Source organism: Homo sapiens, chromosome 8 (assembly GCF_000001405.40).
Source record: "Homo sapiens chromosome 8, GRCh38.p14 Primary Assembly".
NCBI classification, from domain to species: Eukaryota; Metazoa; Chordata; class Mammalia; order Primates; family Hominidae; genus Homo; species Homo sapiens.
Window position 1 is genome coordinate 72,607,741 of NC_000008.11, and position 21,704 is coordinate 72,629,444.

General features: G+C 38.2%; 1 protein-coding gene and 1 pseudogene across 1 annotated transcript in view; one reads left to right on the top strand and one right to left on the bottom strand.

Annotated features, from left to right (window-relative positions):
* The window catches only part of KCNB2 (potassium voltage-gated channel subfamily B member 2), a 401,125-nt gene that overhangs the window by 70,516 nt on the left and 308,905 nt on the right, over positions 1-21,704 (top strand). The gene's annotated exons all lie outside the window — the stretch shown is intronic.
* HAUS1P3 (HAUS augmin like complex subunit 1 pseudogene 3) lies at positions 10,771-11,872 on the bottom strand (annotated as a pseudogene).

Sequence of the window (21,704 nt, forward strand, 5' to 3'; positions counted from 1 at the left end):
ATTTTATTTGTTATAAAATAGAGACCCATATATGCACTTAATTTAGGACTAAAGCAAGTTTGAATAACAATATAAAACACTAGAAATAAAATTTAATTTGTGTAACACATTTTGAATTATAAAATTATAATTATGAAATAAAAGTGACTTATTTAACTGGGTTAGTACATAAAAATACAGAAATTCATCCACTCATCATTATTAAACATTTATTGACCATCTGCTATATGTCAGGCACTGGTCAAAGAGCCAGCATTTGAGCAGGAACCAAGCAGATAATGTCCTGCCTAATGGAGCTTATATTCTCATGGGGGCAAGGGTTAGTGATCTGAAAATTTTTCAGATATTAATGAGCTCTTCAGGGATTTCAAAGTAGAGTGATGTGATAGAGACTTCTGGGTGGCTCCTCCAGATCTTGAGGCTGAAGAAAGCCCCTTGGAGAAGGAGTCTGCTTTGTGCACATCTGTGGCAGATATGGCAGATGGGGGTGGGCATTCCTGGTGGAAGTGGACTGGCTGGAATAGGGAGGTGAGAGTGGGCAGAGAGGCAGGCAGAGGCTGGGAACCAGGCAGGGAGAGGAGGCAGGACTTGTTCTGACTGCTGTGGGCAGGCAATGGAGGGGTTAAAACAGAGGTATTATGCTATCCAATTTCTATTTTTAAAAAATTACTCTAGCCCCTGTTTGGAAAGTGGAGTCTAGGGTAGCAAGAGGGGAAACAGAGAACATGTTGGGAGGCTATTGAAACAGGTACTTGAGAGGTGCTGATGCCTTGGATGAGGGCTGTGGAACTGGAGATGGGGAAGTAAAGGCTGTAAGTTAGAAATGCCTGTGGGTGTGCTCCTGGAAGCTAGAGAGAAGACACAAGGGAAGGAGCTAGCCTCGGGGTACCACCAATGGTGAGGTATCCAGCAGGGGGAGAGGGCCATCAAAGGAAACTGATAAAAAATAGAAATTACAATGGAGTCTCTCCAAGATGAGAGATAAGAATGTCTCAGAAAGCAAGGGATGAGACATCAGTTCAGCCACATTTAGGCCACCACTGGGCACATGAATTAACTCGAAACTAGTAGTTAAGAGTACATAGCTTCACAACTTGGCCCAACTTGTGAAGTTTGGGCTTCACCAGTTATCATATTGATGTCAACCATCCAAAGATCATAAAAGGATGGTTACAAGGAGGAGTTAAGATGTTCAAACAAGTGATTTTACTTGATAACAATTTAGTGCAATTATGTATAACAAGTAATTTTCTATGATGAAGTATAATCTTAGGCACAAGTGATGTAGTGGGGAGTAGAATTGTTTCATAGAGGATTAGAATGAGAAGAAGTATGAGAGGTTATGGTCTAACACCTCTTTCATTTGTAAAGATAAGGAAACTGAGACCCAGAGCATTGAAGAGAATTTGTTCAACATCATATAGTAGCTAATTAAATATTCAAAGCTAGGACCTTGGTCCATGTTTCTTAGATCAAGTATGTCCTTACCACTCACACACACATGCACTCTCATCAGTGCATGTAGCACATAGGACAATATAGCAGTAGTTGATGATTATTTGCTTTCAAAACTGACTTAAGAGTAATCCTGAAAAACAAACTCTCTTGAAGCATTTTCAAGCTTTATGTGATTCATAAAATTTCAGTCAACACTTCTTTTTCAAGAAGTTCCGTTAGAAGTGAGTTACATTTAACCATAGAAGAAGAAAAAAATGTATTCTTTCTGAATCAAAAAATTAGCGTAATAGATATCTGCACTAGAGTTTATAATTTTCATTAGAGACAAGAGTTTTTTCTACAATGAATATTATTAGAATTTTCTGTTGCCCTTTTATTTGTGCTTGAACATAAGCTAGAGTAGACATAGATAATATCCGATTTGGAATTTACATCAGAATCTGGTATCAGGCAAAAACACCAAGGAAGAAATATTTAATATTGTATATTATAATGTCAATTAGGATCAACTTAGTATAATTTTATCTGTAGTTCTTGAAATATTTGTAAAATATTTCAGACTACAGAGCACTATGTTTATGTGTGCACTTATGTAAACCATTTTTCATTAAAGTCCCCAGTCGAATAAAGCATTATCATCTAGACATCTTCAGTGCTGCCACACTGCGCAGACCCAGGACGTCGTTACGTTGAAGTCCAGCATTCAGGGGCTGCTGTTCACGTGGAATATTTTCACAGCTCTCCCTGGAGTTGTACAAACTGTGGCTCTGGCTGTCTTCTTTCTTCTTATGTAAAAGATCCTGAAAACCTAAAATAGATTTTTGTTGTACCTTCTAAAGTGTAATCACTTAATAATATTTCAAAAAAATTTGGTGACTTTTCTGACCACAGGGTTGGGATAAAACAACAGGAAAAAAAAATCTTCAAATCAATGAATAGAAAAGGATTAGAGCAGGTAATTGTTGGAGAGAAAAGATAATGACTCTTAAAGCTCTCCAAATCACATCTCTTGAAGAGTAGATGTTGTACTGAAATATAATCCCCTCAGCATGAAGGGTTTAGCATTCGAGTGTTCTTGCTTAAATCAGTGGGATTTCTTCCTCCAACTGATGTGCTTAAAAACCGAACTCTAAACTAAGTTAAGGAAAAAGTTTAAAACAGAATCTAGACTTTAAGCAATGGAATTAGGATAACATGAAGATTTTCCTCATATTTTTTCTTATTTATGCTCACCAAGTAGTATTTTTTAAAGCCTAGGTATGCAATTTGTTTGCCTCTTCCTGAAATTTCTAAGACAAATTATGCCTAACAAAAGGTTAGGGATATGATCTCTTATGTATGCAATAAAAATAACACTCATAATAATAGCAACCAAAAAAATAGATAGCACTTTCTATAGGCAAGGCACTGTCCTAAATACTTAAAAAATTTAGTAACGTATTAATCCTCACAACTGACTCTATGATGTAAGGTTTATTATTAGTCTCATTTTAAAATGTGGTTACGGAATTCAGACATCATTAAATTAAAAACTGAATCATTCTAAAGGAAAATGAAGGCAAATAACTATTATAATGAGTAAATTCAGAAGACAAGTGGTTTACGTAACATACAGGATTTTGGTAATTAAAAACATATAAAAGCAAGACAGGCAGCTTATCTCACTGAAGGGGTAACAGAAAGACCTCAGGTGAAATCCAATGAGATCAGATTTGTCAGAAAAAATGATTTTGTCTCCAATCAGTAATGACCTTTCAGCCTGCCCTAGGGTTGAGGGAACACCTTCAAAACATTGACTTTATCACTGACCTGATGAAAATAATGGGCTCAGTCCATGAATCAAGACATGTATGTTGAGATTGCTCTAAATTTATGAATCTTGGATTGTAGGGAGTAGGGAGCACTGAAGAAAAGGAAAAAGAAAATCTATGTGCTATCCATTTTGAAACTGAGACCCATCTTTTAATCCTCAGAATGTTATTAGTATTTTCTTATAGATTTCTGACAATTATGCATATGGATGATGTTAAAATATCATTTTTAAAGTTGATCAGTATTACAAGATAGATACCTGTATTAATTTTGCCAATACCTTTCACAAAAAGTCTTTTGTAATAAAAATTATCTAAACAAGTCTCTTAAATGTAGATAGGGTCACCGTATTTTCAGATGCTCCCCTGGGAACAGAGTTGACTCACTGCTTTCAAGCTTGCAACTCTTGGGTATTTGTGACCCCAGCACACTAAAGTTCGGTATCCGAATCTGCCAACATCTCCCTTGTTATTTTAATCACCTATGATGTTTGTATCTTGCAATATGGACTTCCAATGATCTGTATTTTCTATGATGAGAAAGACTCCCTTGCCATGAGGACTGCCCATGATCTTTTTAGGAACAGGAAGGCAGAGAGGATGTGTGTAGCAACCGGCTTTGCTGTTTACTGCATGGCACACTGAGCTCTTTACAATGGACTATGGAAGGGATACCTTCTATTTCATAGCACCTTTTAAGTGTATTGTTCTGCCAATTGCAACTTTTTGCCTTATATTGGTGATACATGAGAATAAAAAAGATCAGGCATTGGCTCACTCCAGTTTGGCTTAAAATCCTAGGTAGCCCACTTGCTGCCCAACCTTAAGAAACCCATTTTTTTTTTCTGGATCCTCACTTTCTTCGTTTTCAAATGGGAACAATAGGATTTGTGACAAGGACTAAATAACTATTAATCAATTAATTAATATTTTTGCCTGAAACATGTTAAAAAAATCCTTAAACGCAAACTGTTATTTAAAATAGAAAAAGTAATGCCAGCTCGCTCACTCTTGAGTTCAAGTGAAATAGTATATAGAAACCTAAAAACTCCATAAAAACTTCAGATACTCTCAAGCAGTATATCCCATGCAATCATTATAAGATTTTACTTGAAACTTACCATCAATAAATTCTGTGACTTCTTAATTCACAGCAGTTCCAGTGATAGTAAGCATTAACATCATAAGCCTGACTATTGCCCCATTCCAACTTAATTAACACATATAAATGATTTATTGTTCTAAAATCAAAGGATTGAACAATGCAGTGTTCTCAGTGAAGAGTGACATTTAACCTGTCCACAAGTGACCAAAGACTTGTTATACAGGTACTCAACTTTAGTAAATGTAAACATAAGCAACATAATCTTTGAAAACACAAGGAAGTAAAATAAAACTTAATGGAAGACTTGCTGGTGAATTTCTAGAGTCAGATATTGCTTCCAGTTCTTTGTCATTCATACTGATGACATTTTGCCCTGCTTTCTTCCTTCTTTAAGTTTTCCATCTCTTTAAGCAAATTACATCATGGAAGATGCTATGGTACTTAGAAACACTTGCCCCTGAAAATCTGGTTCTAATTTAGGTCTTCATAATAAAGCTTGACACATTGAAGCAGACAGTGTTAGGAACTGAGACATCAGGGTCAAAGTCTAGAACAAGATGAACAGAAACAGTTGCCTTGGGCTTTGTGGAGGTAAAATGGACATCTGAATGCTACTGGATGAAATAATTGATTTTTCCTGAGGCAAGTATGATTTTGGTCCTTAGAACTTCTAAGCTTTTTCAAGTTTGAGCTTGCTAAGAATTATTTTTTTAATATAAAGTACAGCATGAGAAAATCAGCAGGAATGTTCTTTTCAGTAGATATCAAAGTTAGATTTTCTATGTTTTAACATTTTTGGAAAATTAAATATGACAATATTGTTAGAAGATATGCTCTCCTGTGGAAATAACATTTCTATCAAGTTAGCATTATTTTATTTACATATGTGCCATGTGCACACACATGCACACAATCTCACAAATAAATGTCGTGGAATAAAAGAAAACTAGATAACAATGGCTCAAGAACTGCCCCATGGTTACATATGGACTGTCTGTTTCTGTCCCACTGTATCATTATTGTGTTTTCCACACTATGGCCAGAGAGAGTAAATCTGAATTTAGAAAGATAAACTGAAAATAAAAGTGAAAACAATGGATTTCAAACAGGCAATTATCTCCAGATAAATTCAATCATAGCAAGAAAAAAAACCCTACAAACAAGCAAAACTAACAAAGCAGGCGATCACATCTGGCCTCTGCAAGTCCTTAGGGAACCTGCCACTATGTCTATGATGACTGAATTTATATTCCTCAAAAAATAATGTTTTAAGTATCTTTCACACTGTTATCCAATATACATTGAGTCACTGACAGACTATGAAGATTTGTCTTACGCACCTAGACAGATATTTCTAAGTAGTTCCATGTTTCAGCAGCATTTGACTTGGAAGAAACAAAATATAAAAATAAAATCCCTGTTATATCAAATTAATGTTTCACTATGTATTAAGATCTGACCATCTGTGGAGTGTGTTCAGTTGGTGATACATCATCCCTCAGTCTAAGCTGTACTACCAGAAGTAAAGTTCAATCCACATTGGTCTTTCCTAGCCACTCAGGGGTATCCGATGACCATATTCACGCCTCCATTGTAGTCCCATTGTAAACCCCTGATGTGGTTAAACAGTGCACTTGTTAGTTGCTGTCATTGGCACATTGAGCATTCAATTAGCAGAGTTCCTTTCTTCTGCTGTAAATTCAGAATGGTCCACATTTAAAATTCATCACCAGAATGAAGTAACGTGAAAGAGTGAATTTCTTGAGCTCTTGCAGTTATTCAGATGGGATCTTACCCGTTCTCAATACGCAGAGATTATGGGTTTAAACTCCCACACTGTTGCTGAGATAATGACACCAACTCAAAGCATAAATGTGGACGATCTAAATTTAGTCAGGTAGCAGTGGATTCTCCTGTAGAAATGCTGCCTTTCTGCTAGGAAGGATGAGGAAACGTAGCTAGTCACACATTGATGTAAATTAGTTTTGCTCCTGAAAAAGAGTGTAATGTACAATCTGCAGTAGGCAACTCTTGTTTCTGATAACATCACAACCTCTTCTCCCAGTGCTGTTTATTGGGTAAAAATAGTTTTATTAGATATTGATTGGATGCCAAACAGCAAGGAAACACCTTTTAATTTTAAATGTATGTATTTTATAGATACAGAAAGATATCTATGATGTCTTTATATTAGTTTCTACCATTGAAGGATTTGTTGTCATCCTAAAGGGTCAATGCATGATGGTAGGTGTGGAATCAGAGAGGACTTGGGTTCAAATCCTAGCTCTACTCTAATAGCCCTGTAAAGGTAGACAAGGTTTTTAAATTGGAAACTCAATTTCTTGTGCTGTTAAAGGAATCCTCCTCACCTGAGCATATTGTTCTTACAGTAAAATGAGATCGCACAGTGAAATGGGGGATTGAGCGCAGCAGCATAGATGCCAGTCTCTGACTGTTGTTGTTAGTGGACACAATTGCTCTTGTTCTCTGTGCTGAAGAGTAGGTGTTTATAACGGCTCCTGCTCTTATAGGACTTTTCTAATAAGCATTGCTTCAGGATGCTTTAAATCTGTCATCTTGTGGCTAGGTGCTCAAAGTCTTTGTCTCCCTTCCGTTGGTTCTGTCCTTTCTGAAAACGTCTTATTTCACTTCTTAAATAATTTCCTGTCCCCACTCCATTCTGACAGAAAAGTTTAGAGGAGACATGATTTCCTTGGAGACTCAGAGATGCCATAACTTACATATAACCACACAATGGCCCATGTGAGCTAGGTGGCTAAATGCTGAAATACTTTTGAGGGACCAAAAATATCAAACAAGCAGAGGCTATGTATTGTCCCTGGGAGGCAGGACCCTATGAGCAGATGATAGAAGTGGCTAAGGAAGCAGCATCAGTTCACACCATGAGGAGAGCCAAACCTCCCCACATAACACCAGCTGCCTGAGCAGCCCTTGGACTCCACGTTTGCAGTGGGTAGGGAAAAGAAGGTCTGTCCAGAAAGCAGGAGCATGGAGCTCCGTAGACCTGAAACAGCCCCAAGTCTGCCTTTTACTAATTACATATAGTGGATACATCATTTGTTTTCTCTGAATCTAGGTTCCCTTATCTCCAAAATGAAACTCACAGACCTGTCTGCCTCTCACAGGGTAGTTATGAGAATGAAACAAGATGTTGTGTGTGAAAGCACTTGGCAACCTGTGGTTCTGCTTAATACCGACTGCTACATGGCTCTGAAATCACACACTGAGGGGCATACGAGGCACAAGATGAAGCAAAAACTGCCTTTAATCCTCTGTAGTTTGGCTTCTCAGTTGTACGAGAATTCCCTAGGGTACTGGTTTAAAATACAGATTTCAAGGTTTTGCCCCATAAATTTCTAGTTTATTTGGCCCATGGTGGAGCCTGAAATCTGCATTTTAAACAAACATACAGGTGATTGGTTAGAGCTGGTTGGTCCCTTGGGCCACATTTTGAAAACTGCTGTTCTGCCCCTTAAGAGGCCAGACCACTGGGGATGGGTGTGTTTTGGGGGATTACTAAGAGCGAATAATGTGGAAAATCATATATTGTAGGCTGGAAACTTTGATACCTCTACTGTACTCTAGAATTTGGAAAGTTTATAACAAGTTGAATAGGGCAAAAAAGTTTTCTTTGCCCAAGTGAGGCACAGTTTTTAAAGGTGAGTGAATGAAATAAATAGATGAAGGAAGAAAGTCAGATAAGATCAACAGATTCATTCTCAGTAGAGTCTTTAAGCTCTCAGCTGCAAGTATCATAACTTGCTTTGATAAGTTTTGTAAGTTAGTGAACAAAAGATAATTTAAGTTTAAGTTGAGCAGAAAATAATTTATTGCTTTTGAAATGCTGGCTGCCTTGTACAGGATTATCTCAATCTTTATCTCCAGTTCATGAAACCCAAGGCTACCTATTGACAAGGGAAAAAAAAGCTTTTCTGAGGTACATGAAGAGATTCAGGCATTTTAAGGTTCTCAATCATGTCACCTTTTCTCGCTTAGGTTTTAAGTCGAAGGATTCCTTTTGAGTTTGCACATTTTGTTGAAATTAAGTGGAGGGCCTTTCCAAATTGTCAGCTTTTATTTCTTGCCCATTCAAGCTTCCATTTAGAATTGGTATAAAATTAGATCTGCAGTAGAACTATAGCTGTAATTTTAAAATCACTATGGATTTTGATTGTGCAAGTGGCATGCTTATGGCTAGTGGAAGCTAACAACAAAACAGTGTCACATATAATAACCTCATGAGTGTTAAGAGTTAATCTTACCAGGCTTTTTTTATTCCAATGTTTATGAAACTTTTAAATCACCAAAGTCAGCCACATCTCAGCCTGTATAAAATTCTCTAGCTCTTAGGCTTTTTTCTTTTTTCATTCAGGTCTCAGTTCATATATTAAATGTGGTTCTAAGGGTTCATCAAACTACCCCATGCAAAGGAACCCCTTTCATCTCTATCACTTTATTTGGCTTCATTTTCAAAGCACTGTCTGAATTGTCAAGCACTTCATTTCATGTAGCACTGTCTGAAATTTTCTTATCTGTGTATGCATTTATTTACTGTCTTCCTCTTCCCATGGAATGCAAAGGTTATCAGAGCAAGGACTTTTGCCTATTTAGGTTGTTGCTCTTTCTAGGACCTGAAGGTATACCTGGAGCACAGAGAGAAAATTAATAAATATTTACTGCATATATGAAGAGGAGGAGTTAATATAATAGGCACAGTTTTCTCAGAGCTCTGTATTCTGTCCTTTGCCTATTACTGAAATCTGATGGAGGAAGATTGGAGGGGCTTAAATGGATCTCACGGCTCTTACACATTGCTTAACTAAATGGCTTCCACAATTCCTCTCTCTCTTGTAATGCTCTGTGGCTTCACACCTCGAGCCAGGTGTCTGCTCAATTGTGATTTATGCAAGCCAGTTCCAAGTAGCAGTGAAATAGTGACTGAATAATAAAGGGTCACAGACACATCTGTGAGGCCAGGGTCAGGGGGAAATGGTCTGTGCCTTTTCATTTCCCTCTCTTTCCTCCACTTTTCTTAGCTAGGAGGTATCCTTATGTCACCTTCTGCCTGAAACCTGTATACTAATGTTGCCCCAATCCTCCCATCTTTCCAACATGATAGTTTCCCACCTGGTGTCTGAGCAGTATTTTGGAAGAAAACACTCTTATTTCCCATTCCAAAACAAAGATAGCCAGTGATGTATGTTGCAGAGAGAAAAGAAAAATAGGCAAGGACAGGATTTGAGATGGAGGCAAGAGAACATTGTTTTAGAAAGGCGGGGATTTGGCACCCAAATCAGATGTTCTGCCTTCTCCATCCAACTCCAGAGAGACCTGAAGAACTCTCATCTTTGAGTGGCAGGATCAACTTCCATGCCCTGAAATTTCCATTTGGTCCTCACTTATTCAACGTGGAGCAGAAACCAGTGCATTTTTGTCAGTATAGGCTAGCATCACAGAAGTGCAAAAAAAAAAAAAAATGACAGTAGACTATAGCTCATTTTGATTAGTGGACATTTTTACGATAGACCCTTAATTATTCAGTCACTATTTCACTGCTACTTGGAACTGACCCTGTTTGTCTTACTCATCCAGGTTGCATGCCTTCCCCTTACTTATAAACTCTCCATCTAGTGGTTTTCCCAGATGCTAAATTCGCCACCTCCCCGCCGGCCCCGGCCCCAAGTAATAAACAACTAATTAAAAATAGAGGAAATTTTGGCAAGTGCTGTCTACAGCCTATTTTAGAAAACACACACCATAATATTATCTAAGCGGCGTCTGAAGCTCTTTAGTGAGGGTTATAACTATGTGGTGGAACGACTTCAGGGCTCACAGCATGGAGCATTGGCAATGACATCTGGAGTCTTTCATTATGCAGTTGCTGGTGCTGCACAGCCTCCCACTCACCTTGGTACCTGCACACACTGCTGTTTCTCCTGCAGCCCCTTGTGTGGCTGCATCTGTATGGTGGGAAAGCTAAAAATGCCTACCGAGATGGCAATGTAGACTGACATTAGCTCATAATCCTTGCAAGATGCACATGTGTGTTAAAAAAAAAAATCCCAAAGAACTAGCATCCCAAATGATTCAGGTTTCTGTAGGAACTAGAAGCAGAGAAGTAAGCTCAAGATCAAAACCAAATAGTGCCCCCAAATTATTTTTGAGGTCTTGTACCCTTAGAATCAGAGAAACTCTCCTTCTTTTTCTTGCCTATTAATTCACCCTAAGTATTAGTTTAAAAATATGTTTGCTGTGTTGTCATGTATCCAACTAGTTGATAAAACTACAAGATTTTAATAAACATAAATTTTTATTATTTTGCAGTTATATTGAAATAGAACACTAGTGAAAGAATTTTAGTTACTCATTTTTTTCAGAGAAAAGGTATTTTAATACGAACATTGTATATTTGGACACAGAAACTGCTATACACAACAAGAAACCATGATTTGATCAATTATGACATTATTATCTCTTCTAAAAACACAGAAATTACATTATTAAGCAATTACAAGAGGAAAAAGGAAGTCTGTAAAGTCCTATTCAATTTACTTTTTTAAGGAAAATGATGTTTATTTGACTCTGGTCACGGTTCCATTTTGTCTACTTTCTTTGTAAGTTCAGCTTCAGTGCTACCTAATTCTCTCTTTGCTTCTTCAATTTTCACTTGAGCAAGAGATGGATTCAGCATTAAATCTAAATAGAACTCCATTTTTTTCTTCAAAGGTATGGTCTATCGTTTTAACTCTGCCAGTTTCTCTGATACCGCTACTAGGGACTGATGAAATGGAGAAGCATCCATGCCTCTGGCTGAAAGTGACTCCTCTGCAGCTTTGATTTCAAATCTGAACTCCACTGACTTTGTTTTTAGAACATCCCTGTTCTGAAGATGACCGTCGACTTTGACCCTTTCCAAAGACAAATGAAACTCTACTTTCTTGAGATCCTCTTTTTGACATTTTTCCAATATTAATGTTGCAGTTAGTTTTTTTTCAAGATTTTCCCATTCAATCTTGATTTCTTCAGTTTGGGATTTTGTTTGAAAGATCAGATGTCGAATTATTCACTGCAGGGATAAACCTAGCTAGTGAGGTATCTTTAGTTTCAAGGGCGATGTGCTGTCAACCAAAGCATTCAGATACCTGGAACCAGTGCTGGAGAGATTGGCAGGGGAAAAGTTCACACTCTCCATGAGAAGGTCTTGAAGAGGCTTGGCTTCTGATTTATATTCACTTGCTTTCTGCCTGTTTCAAGTCATGTATTACCAGGTAGACATCCCTGTCCTGGAGCTTGTTGCATTCTAAAAGGTGGTGTAAAATCTCTAATTCGTAGGTTCACCTCATACTATGGGTATGAGATTTTGAGTATGGGTATGAGGTAAATGGGATTACCTCCATTTTTTTTTTTTTTAATCACACAGCAACCTGCACCTCTTTCTCCTCCTGGGGCTCCATAGCTGCCACTCCTGCCACTTCACACGGAACTCCTCAAGGAAGAAGTGCCCTGCAAGCCCCTTATTTACTAATTTTCATTTCAAGAATTTTATTTTATTATCTTCAAATTTTATTTTATCTAAATCTTATCATCCACAAAAAAAGAGTTTCTCAATATTTCACAGTGTACAGACATGGTCAGTTAGCTTCAGGTAACAAAATAATCTTCAAAACTGTAACAGTAAAAAGTTTCAGAACCATTTGGTTGATATGATTTATTAAAGGATTTAATTATTCATTGGAGATGTTGATACCTTAGAGCTGTGGTAACTATCCAATATGGTAACTACTGAACTCTTCAAATGTAGCTAGTCTGAATTAATATGTGCTATAAGTGTGAAATACACAGCAAATTTGTTTTAAAGACTTACAACAAAAAAGGAAATAGTTCATTTATAAATTCTTATACTGATTGCATGCTGCAATAATATTTTGAATATACTGTGGTGAATGAAATATATTATTAAAATTAATTTCACCTGTTTACATCTACTTTTAAAAATACCTCTTCCAAAAAAGTTAGTCTATTTCCATCACATAGCACTACTTTAGAGAAACAAAAGTTTCTGGTTACTCTACAGGGAAACAGTTAAAATATAATGTTGCCAAGGAAGACAGAAATCCAACAGGCAGTTTAGATGTTCTGCCAGAGAGCCTGATCATTGTTTCTCCAGAATCTACTGCAAAGACACCTCCTGAAAAGAAGAGGCCGTTTTATAGCACATGCTGATTCAAACCTGGGTCCCTCTTCTGCAAGATCAACCATATCAGTTAGTGCTATCTAGAAGTAGTTAATAGATCTTAAATTACTGGAACTAAAGGATACAAATGAACTAACATGTGCAGGAGAGGGAGACATTTCAGTGCCCTCTGAATCTTGTCTGTGATAAAGCCCACTGTCCCTTTCTAACTGAAGCCTTTCCCTTTAGCAACATTGTTGTCCAAAGTTGGAAGGCCTTCCAGTACTGTATTTTATTTTATTTTATTTTATTTTTTTGAGATGGAGTTTCGCTCTTGTTGCCCAGGCTGGAGTGCAGTGGTGCGACCTTGGCTCACTGCAACCTCTGCCTCCCAGGTTCAAGTGATTCTCCTGCCTCAGCCTCCCGAGTAGCTGAGATTACAGGTGCCTGCTACCACACCTGGCTAATTTCGTGTTTTTAGTAGAGACGGGGTTTCACCACGTTGGCCAGGCTGGTCTCAAACTCCTGACCTCAGTTGATCCACCCGCCTCGGCCTCCCAAAGTGTGGGGATTACAGGCATGAGCCACTGTGTCTGGCCAGTACTACGTTTTAGATACATTAATTCATTGGATTACGTTTTAGGCCCTTAGACACAAGGGAATGTGGTCTCTGGACTTTTGTCTTTCTGAGAATTTTTTGTTTTTCTGTGAAACCTAACCATCTGGTTCGTGAATATTCCAGAATAGGAAATATTAATATAAAAGTGATTCTGTTTATATGAGTCTTCACTTTTGATACAAGAAATAAGATCACAAGTTTATGGGAATGTGTTTTTAAAAGAATCCTGCTAACATATGTACATTTCATCTCTTAACCCTTTCTGACCTGTATATTTTTATTTGTTCCAAGTGACTCAATCCCAACGTGTCAGTAACGACCTCCCATACATACCAAGAAGCTTCTGCCATCTGGTGGTATATGTGGAGGACGTGGTAGTCAAGATCCGCAGAAGGATCAAATCCCCCAGTCCAGATCCCAGCTTCCAGATCTGTTTTCTCAAAAAGCTTGAAAGATGGGATGGAGTATAACAACTTGACACCATCATCAGTTCAGCTAATGGTTGTTTCTCTTGCTTCCCAGAAAGTTGGTTTGTTTTGTCTTTTTATACCATAGTAATGACATCACTTGACTTGAACATTTCCCTGCACTCATTTTTAATTATTTATTTATAATTTTTTATTTTTAATGTTCGTGGGTACATAGTAGGTGTATATAGTTATAGGGTACATGATATGTTTGGATACAGGCATGCAGTGTGTGATAATCACATCATGGAGAATGGGCTATCCATCCCCTTGAGCCTGCACTCATTTTAATTAGCAGTCATTTTCTTTTTACAGAAATAATCTGGCGTTAACACCACAGTTTTAATAAAATTTAGACTAAAATTCTCAATGAATTACACAAGTAAAATAAGGATCTAATGAAATCTGTGGCATGATTTCACTATCCTTTGAAGCTGATTTTGAAAAGTTGTCTCCCAGTTTAATGTTGAAAGCTGGTCTTCATACATCTCATAAGTGTTTGTAGTATTCATGTAACCTCAAGCATAGGCAACATTTTCCTATTTCATGTTATTTCACCTGCTCTATTAGACCCTCAGACAAATTATATATGGTTAACAGTTTGCCCTTTAAAATATGTTTGTATTATCTATAATCAATTTTTAAAAAATCGTTTTGTCAATTAGTGTATATTTCATGAGTATCTATGATGTTACCAAGCCCTCTGGGAAATGTTGGGGATAAATTGATAAATAAGATAACAGTCTAATCCTTATGGAATGTACACAGAAAATAGACAGTGTTTGACTTTTCTGAGGCTTTTTTTGTTCTGAAAAATAGGAATCAAAATGTTTGCATAGTTTCAATAGGTTATAGACATTTTAAGTGGCGTATAAGTGATTTCAGAAGAAGAAAAGCCTACCTCTGTAACTAGTCTTCTCAATAACATCTACACAGTCTTTCACTGTAATCCAAGAGTATTGAGACTAATTGGAGCATTTCTTGACCCTCCAATAATAGGAGACATTCAAACATGGTATTAACATAATCTGCCATCATAGAGAACAGCTGAATTAATGTGATATGAATATCATGATCAACCTTGATGGAATAAACATCTTCGTACAGCTGCACAGTGAGATGGGGATGAAAGCCCTTTTTCTGTGTCAAGCTTCCAAAAATGGTTAATTAATCTGAATACTTTAGGTAAATTAAAAAAAAGAATGGAATGAAGAAGGATGTGAATAATCTAGATAATTAAACTCTACTGTGCACCTTCTTTGAAAGTTAGTCTAGGGTTTATGCCATAGGATTATGTAAGAATCTGTTAAGAGAGCTTATTGTTTAATTGTTCTGGTCTATATAACAGTGTTAACTAAAACATAACCTGTATTCAGTAGAATTTGGTTTGAAGTGGGTTTATCTCCGACCCCTATCTACTAAAATGCTCCATGCATCTTAGTTACCTGTAAGAAAGTCCCGTAGTAAAGCTCTGAGAGCCCCCAGACACCAGCACTTCTGTTTGGGATCTGTTCCAGCTCCTGCTAGAACTTGCCATGTGGTTTTATTCAAGACACCATCTACTTGAGCTCAAATTTCTCTATCTGTAAAACAAGGGAGTGGGCCCCAAATTCTGATTTTACCAAAATCAGAATACAATAAGAAGGAAACTGAAGGTTTACAAATATCATTTTTGGTGTGTCTTCATTGACTGAGTGTTAATTATACTGCCATTTCACTGCAGCATTTCTGTTGTAAAGACTTCTGTTGCAGTCAGTCAGAGTCAATCAGTGTTGAGGTTAACTTTCTCTGGCTGTATTGATTGGGTGAAAGTTATCCCCAAAGCTGGAGGAAGCAAATAAATTCCTTCTATCAACTTAAATTGTAGCGATGCCTGTCACAATTTAGGGGCACTTCTTGCTATTTGCCTTTCTGGAGTTGTTTTGATTCCAGGAGTACAGAGACTTAACTCCAGCTTTGAAGGGGAGGGTTGGAGACGATTAGAGGGAGATACCTCTGAGCCCAAGGAAGCAGCATCAAGGACAGAGTGGGGAAGAAAACCAAGTGTCACTTATTGAAAAGCAAAGGCTGTGATCTGCAGTTTCTGGTTTGTTCTGATAGAAGACTTTGGAACCCAAACCATCTGGACACATTTCAGGGACAATAAAGAATTGAAAAAGGTTTTACAAATAGAAGGAAGGTGGATAGGTTATCAGGGGAAAATATGAGTCACAACCTAGTGAACTAGTTTAGAGGAACCAGGCTCCCAGCACACAGGAGGCCTTGACCAGATTAAAAAGATAACTCATTTGTCACATTTGTCTTCCTGGTCATATTCAAAAAGCTTCACCTGTATTCGGTTAATTAATTCTCATGACAACCACTACAGGTAGGTCTTTACTCTCCTTATTTAATACATGAGAAGATGGATTTATAAAGAAGTTAGGTGCCCCAAATCACAGTTGTGAAGCATCAGACCCACTGAGGCTGGCCCCAAAGACAGGCTCTCATTGGTACAAATGTCCTTTCTGGCTCCAGCTTTCTTAGTTCCCTCATGATCACCCCTTTCTTTCATGTCCCCCCAGATGCTTGAGTGCTTCCTGATCGGTGCATAAGCATGTGTTCATTAGTTAAGAGTGCTTATGCTGGTAGGTAGCTTATCTACAAATCGTTACTAGAGACGGAATTAGGAGCCATGCCTCCTCCTCATTTCTCTACTCACTCTGCTCTTCTGTTTACATCAATCAAATCTCTATAATGTTCATATTAGTAAATTACTTAAACATAAGCTATTTTACAAATATATGCTAAGTTCTTAAATATCTTCATTCTGCCTCATGCATGCTTGGCTTTCTGTGCTAGTGTCTCAGTCAAAGCTATGGAATTGGATAGTTCGGGTAGAAAACTTCTCCAATTATCTATATGTTCAGAAAACTGGGAAAACATCCTCGAAGAAGAAGCACACATTAAGTGCCTTTTTCCTGACAGATTTTAGCCTACCACAGGATTTCAACCTTTTGTGCTTGGGGAAGTACTTTCTTCAACAACAAAAAAGATAACATTATGGTTCTGTGGTACATTGTGATATCTCTCAAACCTTCTTCATAAGCCTGAGATGGCTTTTAGCAAATGGTTTTTGCTCAGAGATATGGGTTTTTTTTTTCATTGAACAAGGAATGGAAAATATGCTAATTATAATTGAATAATGGACTCAAAATTTAGATTAACCCTACCTGATCACACTAACAAGATACTGTGAGTCTGCATTCATTTGTTTGGTCAACACATCATATTGAGCATTGCAGTAGGCAGATTGATATGGCGGTCCCCATGACCCCCACCTCCTGGTGTTCAAATGTGGATGGGGCCTGTGACTTCCTTAAAAACAACAGAGTAGGGCAAAGGCAGTGGGATGTACTTGGTTATATCACATAACATCGCAGTGCCCCTCCTGCTGGAGCCTCTCCTTGCTGGCTTTGAAGATGCCAGCTGCCATGCTGTGGGCTGCCCGTGTTGGGAGCCCACCTAGCCAGGAGCTGAGGGTGGCCTCTTAGAGCTGAGGGAAGCCTCCAGCCAACAGCTAGTGAGAAATAGAAGTCCTCAAGATCACATACATTAGGAACTGAATTCCACCAACAAAAGCAGATCCTTTCCCAGTCAAGCCCCATAGGAGACCCCAGCACCAACCAACAGACACCTTTATAGCAGCCTGGTGAGACACTAGCGGGAGACCCAGTGAAGCCGTGTCCAGACTCCTGACTCGCAGAAGCTGTGAGATGCCAGGCCTCTGTTGTTTTAAGTCACTGAGTTTGTGGTAATTTGTTATATAGAAACAGGAAACTAATACAAACACCCTCAGTATTCCAGACACATTTTGAGGAATTAGAAATGGAGCAGTGAACAAAATGAAGTCCCTGTTCTGAGGAGCTTGTATTTCAATAAATCTAAAACATAGACATTTTAGAAGCTTTAATTCATCTCAATTATAATTTCAAAGTAAAAACCTCAGTGATCCCAAAATGGGAAAGAAAAATTTACTTAAAATATTTATTTTTAACTTTTATTATTATTTTTTGAGACAGAGTCTCATTCTGTCACCCAGGCTGGAGTGCAGTGGCGCAATCACAGCTCACAGCAGCCTTGACCTCCTGGGCTCGGGTGATCCTCCCACCTCAGCCTCCTAAGTAGCTGAGACTACAGGCGTGTGTGACCATGCCCAGGTTATTTTTGTATTTTTTCTAGAGACAGGGTCTCACTTTATTGCCCAGGCTGGTCTTGAACGCTTGGGCTCAAGTGATCTTTCTGCCTCGGCTTCTCAAAGTGCTGGGATTGCGGGCATGAGCCACTGCACCCAGAAAAATGAGCATTTCTTTTCTGGTCCAAAGGAGGAAAAATAATGCTGGACATATCTCAGCATTGACTTACCAGGTGATCTTATTCAAGGAAAGAATGGGAGGACAGGGGTTGTCAGCTGTAGAACACGAGTTCTCCATGGGCTGAAGCTTTAGAATCAGAACTTTGCAGTCCCATGATAATGCAATAGTGAGATACAGTATATCTCACTATTTCAAAAAAACAAAAAAAGATACTGAAAAGCTTAAATACATAACTGCCAAAAGTCACCAAAATAAGAAAAGCAATTTCAAAATCAGCTTATTGATTTGATTTCTATAGAAAGACCATTGTCTAAAAGAAAACCTAGGATTCATTCAGCATTTTCAGAAGATCAAAGTCACATTCATGAACAACATGTATGTTAGTTCTAGTGTCCAGACAAGACAGCTAAGAAGGGCTTGAATTTCCACACAAGCTACCTGGCTTTATAAGTAGCCCCAGAATGCCCAGGTACACGGGCCACAGAATGCCCAGAATACACAGGCCACAGTCCACCCTAGGCCCAGTGTCCAGCAAATTTGAACTGCCAGTCACTTGGGGGACCAGGAGCCTGTACTGTATTTGGGAAACCACAAATCTAAGGCCACATTCTATAGAATAGACTTAAAGGTTTTCTTGAAATTAATATGTAATCAATCACACTCAGAATATATTTGGGCAGCTTATATGTGCAATGTGTTACATGCAGCTAAATGACTCTAACATTTCTATTGCAGTGTACAGAAGGTGTTCATAGAGCTAGCTCTTGTTGAATTGCAGTTATGGTTGTTAATAACATGTGTTGAGCACTAGTTCTGTCTAGACATTGTGCAGAGCACTTTGATATGTTTTTAATTTTATTTTCTTAAAAGGATTATTGTCCCCATTGAATAGAAGAGACTAAACCTTAGAAAGCCTAAGACACATACGCAAGATCCAACAATGAGAAAATGTTGGGGTTACAATTTTAATTCAGGCAGTCTGGTTGCAGAACTGGTGCCCTTGACCACTATGCATGGCACCTCCTGTTAATGTGACAAGCACAGTGTCAGATGCTGTGTTCTTTCATTTGTTCTTTATAACAACCCTGCAAAAGGTATTTGGGGGTCATGGGAAGAGCCTTGAAAAACTCTTTCAAGTAATTAGTTTAAGAAAGAGGCAAGATATCGACATGCATCTTCTGATGCCATAATCACTTTTTACATAACCAGGCTAACTGGGGGCTCTAAGGGCTATTGTTCTAAGTAGGAAACCATTGTGTGTTAATATTTATCAAATATTTAGAAGATCAATCTACTTCCAAGACCTTCCCCATCAGTTTGATAATGCCTAAAATTCTAAAAGCTCATGCCAAATTTCTTTACCTTAAAGCTTTGAAATTATTCCTAGTCATTTACCCTTATCAGTCATGTATACTTTAGTAAGAATAAGTTTATCTCACTCATTCATGAAAGCAGATTTTTATGGAGAAGAGGATGCAAAAACTTGAGGATTGCAAATGCTGAATCTTCTTTAGAGAAGGAGGTCACTAGGAGTGAAGAAAAGGGCAGGTGATATTTAGCCTAATGGCTATCAGAGATATTAAGAACACTTTCTGGAGGTCTCAAATTTGATTTTTTTCTGTATAACTAATCATATTTTCTATCATAGACAACCTTGTGTATAACCTAGAAATGATAGAAAGTATATGATCCAAAAGCAAGGTACCATCAGTTCTGCTCTGTACTTCTTTTGAAAATTGGAAATTGTCCCAACACATTTTGATACATTAGAGAACAATTTGAGCATAATGAAAATGTCTTGTTTTTTTTATGCATGATTTTTATCCATGATAACACTAGGTGAATGCAGAAAACTGCATCCAGATGAACAGAGCTGTGTAGGAATGTGCAAATTGCACACAGGCTCACACCTCAAACATCTGCCAGCTACCTCTGCTCACCATGTGCTTTGAGCCGCACCCATCCACATCTGGTGTTAGAACTTTCCTTCTGACTTCAGATAACTCTCCTTCCATACTTCATAATGACTTACTAACTGCAGCCTTTTGACACTCACTTCTGCAAGCAAACTCCAGGTCTGTTTTCAAGATAAAATATAGTATTTATTGTAGTATTTATGTATTTCTTAACAATTTAGCATGTGTAAAACTGTGTTATTTTTATTAGATTAAAAAAAATGTTTCCCTGATGACTTTTTTTTTGGCTTTTTGTTTTTTTTCTTTGAGACAGAGTCTTGCTCTGTCACCCAGGCTGGAGTGCAGTGGTGGGATCTCAGCCCACTGCCACCTCCACCTCCCAGGTTCAAACGATTCTCCTGCCTCAGCCTCCTGAGTAGCTGGGACTACAGGTGTGTGTCACCATGCCTGGCTAATTTTTGTATTTTTAGTAGAAACAGGGTTTTGGCATGTTGCCCAGGCTGCTCTCAAACTCCTGGCCTCATGTCATCTGCCCGCCTTGACCACCCAAAGTGCTGGGATTACAGGCGTGAGCCATCACGTCTGGTCACTGATGAAGTTTTTAGCATCCATTTTTCTGATGAGTCCTGTAGGATTTTTTGCCCAGTGATTTTTAGGAATGTGTGTGTATGTGTGTGACTTTATTGCAGAACTGACTTTATTGTCACTTATTATGCAGATTTCTCCTGTTAGGGGGTGTGTGTGTGTGTGTGTGTGTGTGTGTGTGTGTGTGTGTGTGTGAGATGCACTTAAAGGGGTAGCTGATAATTATTTGAAGTACTTCTTTTCACAGTGGTTTAGCAGGTTAGCAGATTTTTCCCAAGAAAAAAGAGCTAACCATGCATCAAAATAACACTTTTCTGGAGCATTTCTAGAGGATAGCTCCAAGGAATGATGCCCACTTCATCCTTTATTAAGGTTGGTATCTCAGGAGAACTTACGCTGATAAACATGTGTTGCCCCAGTACCATGGGAAAGCAGCTTCCAGCATGCCCCATTTCATTCTTATATCTAGCTAAATTTCTTTTAGGGTCAACATTTGGGAATAGGCCGAGCCCACCTCCTTGCACACATCTGCTGCTGAATAACATCCAAATGAGAGCCTCACTCTGAGGTTAAGGCCTTGGCCTGGTGACCATGCCAGCTCTCTCTTCTTACCTTTATAAAGTCCTGTATGCCTCCCTTCCTCCACATCAAATCTTCAGAAGTATATGTGTGCTTTTTGAACTATGTGCAGCCCGAGAATTTATGAAAGCTACAAATATAACGTACTTAACATTTTAGGCACTAAATAAATGCTAATATAACTGAGGAGTGTCAAACCAATTGTTAGGAAGTGAATGCAAGACAGTGACACCACAGACAAAAAAAGAAGACATTTGAAGCATTCGTGTCACACAATAGTCTTGATGTAGGGGAAAGCCAGGTATGGTTAAGTCTCAGAAATCCATGTCTTCTGAAGACTAAATTGAACTCATTCTCAAAGAAAAACTAAAGAGAAGACTCAGTGTTAACAATGGGAAGAGTCCTAGTAGCAGGAGGAATAGCCCCCACAGTGTCTGGTAACTCCTGATTGAGAGGCACTGATGTCACCTGAAGTTAATCCCAACTCCGCTTCCATCAGTCAGGTAAGCTCGCCCCTTATGGGAGTCTATGCTTTCTAGAAACTCCACACTTAACAATCTGTTCTCTCATTCTATCTTTGTTTTACACAGTATCTCAATGAAAAACAAACTTCTC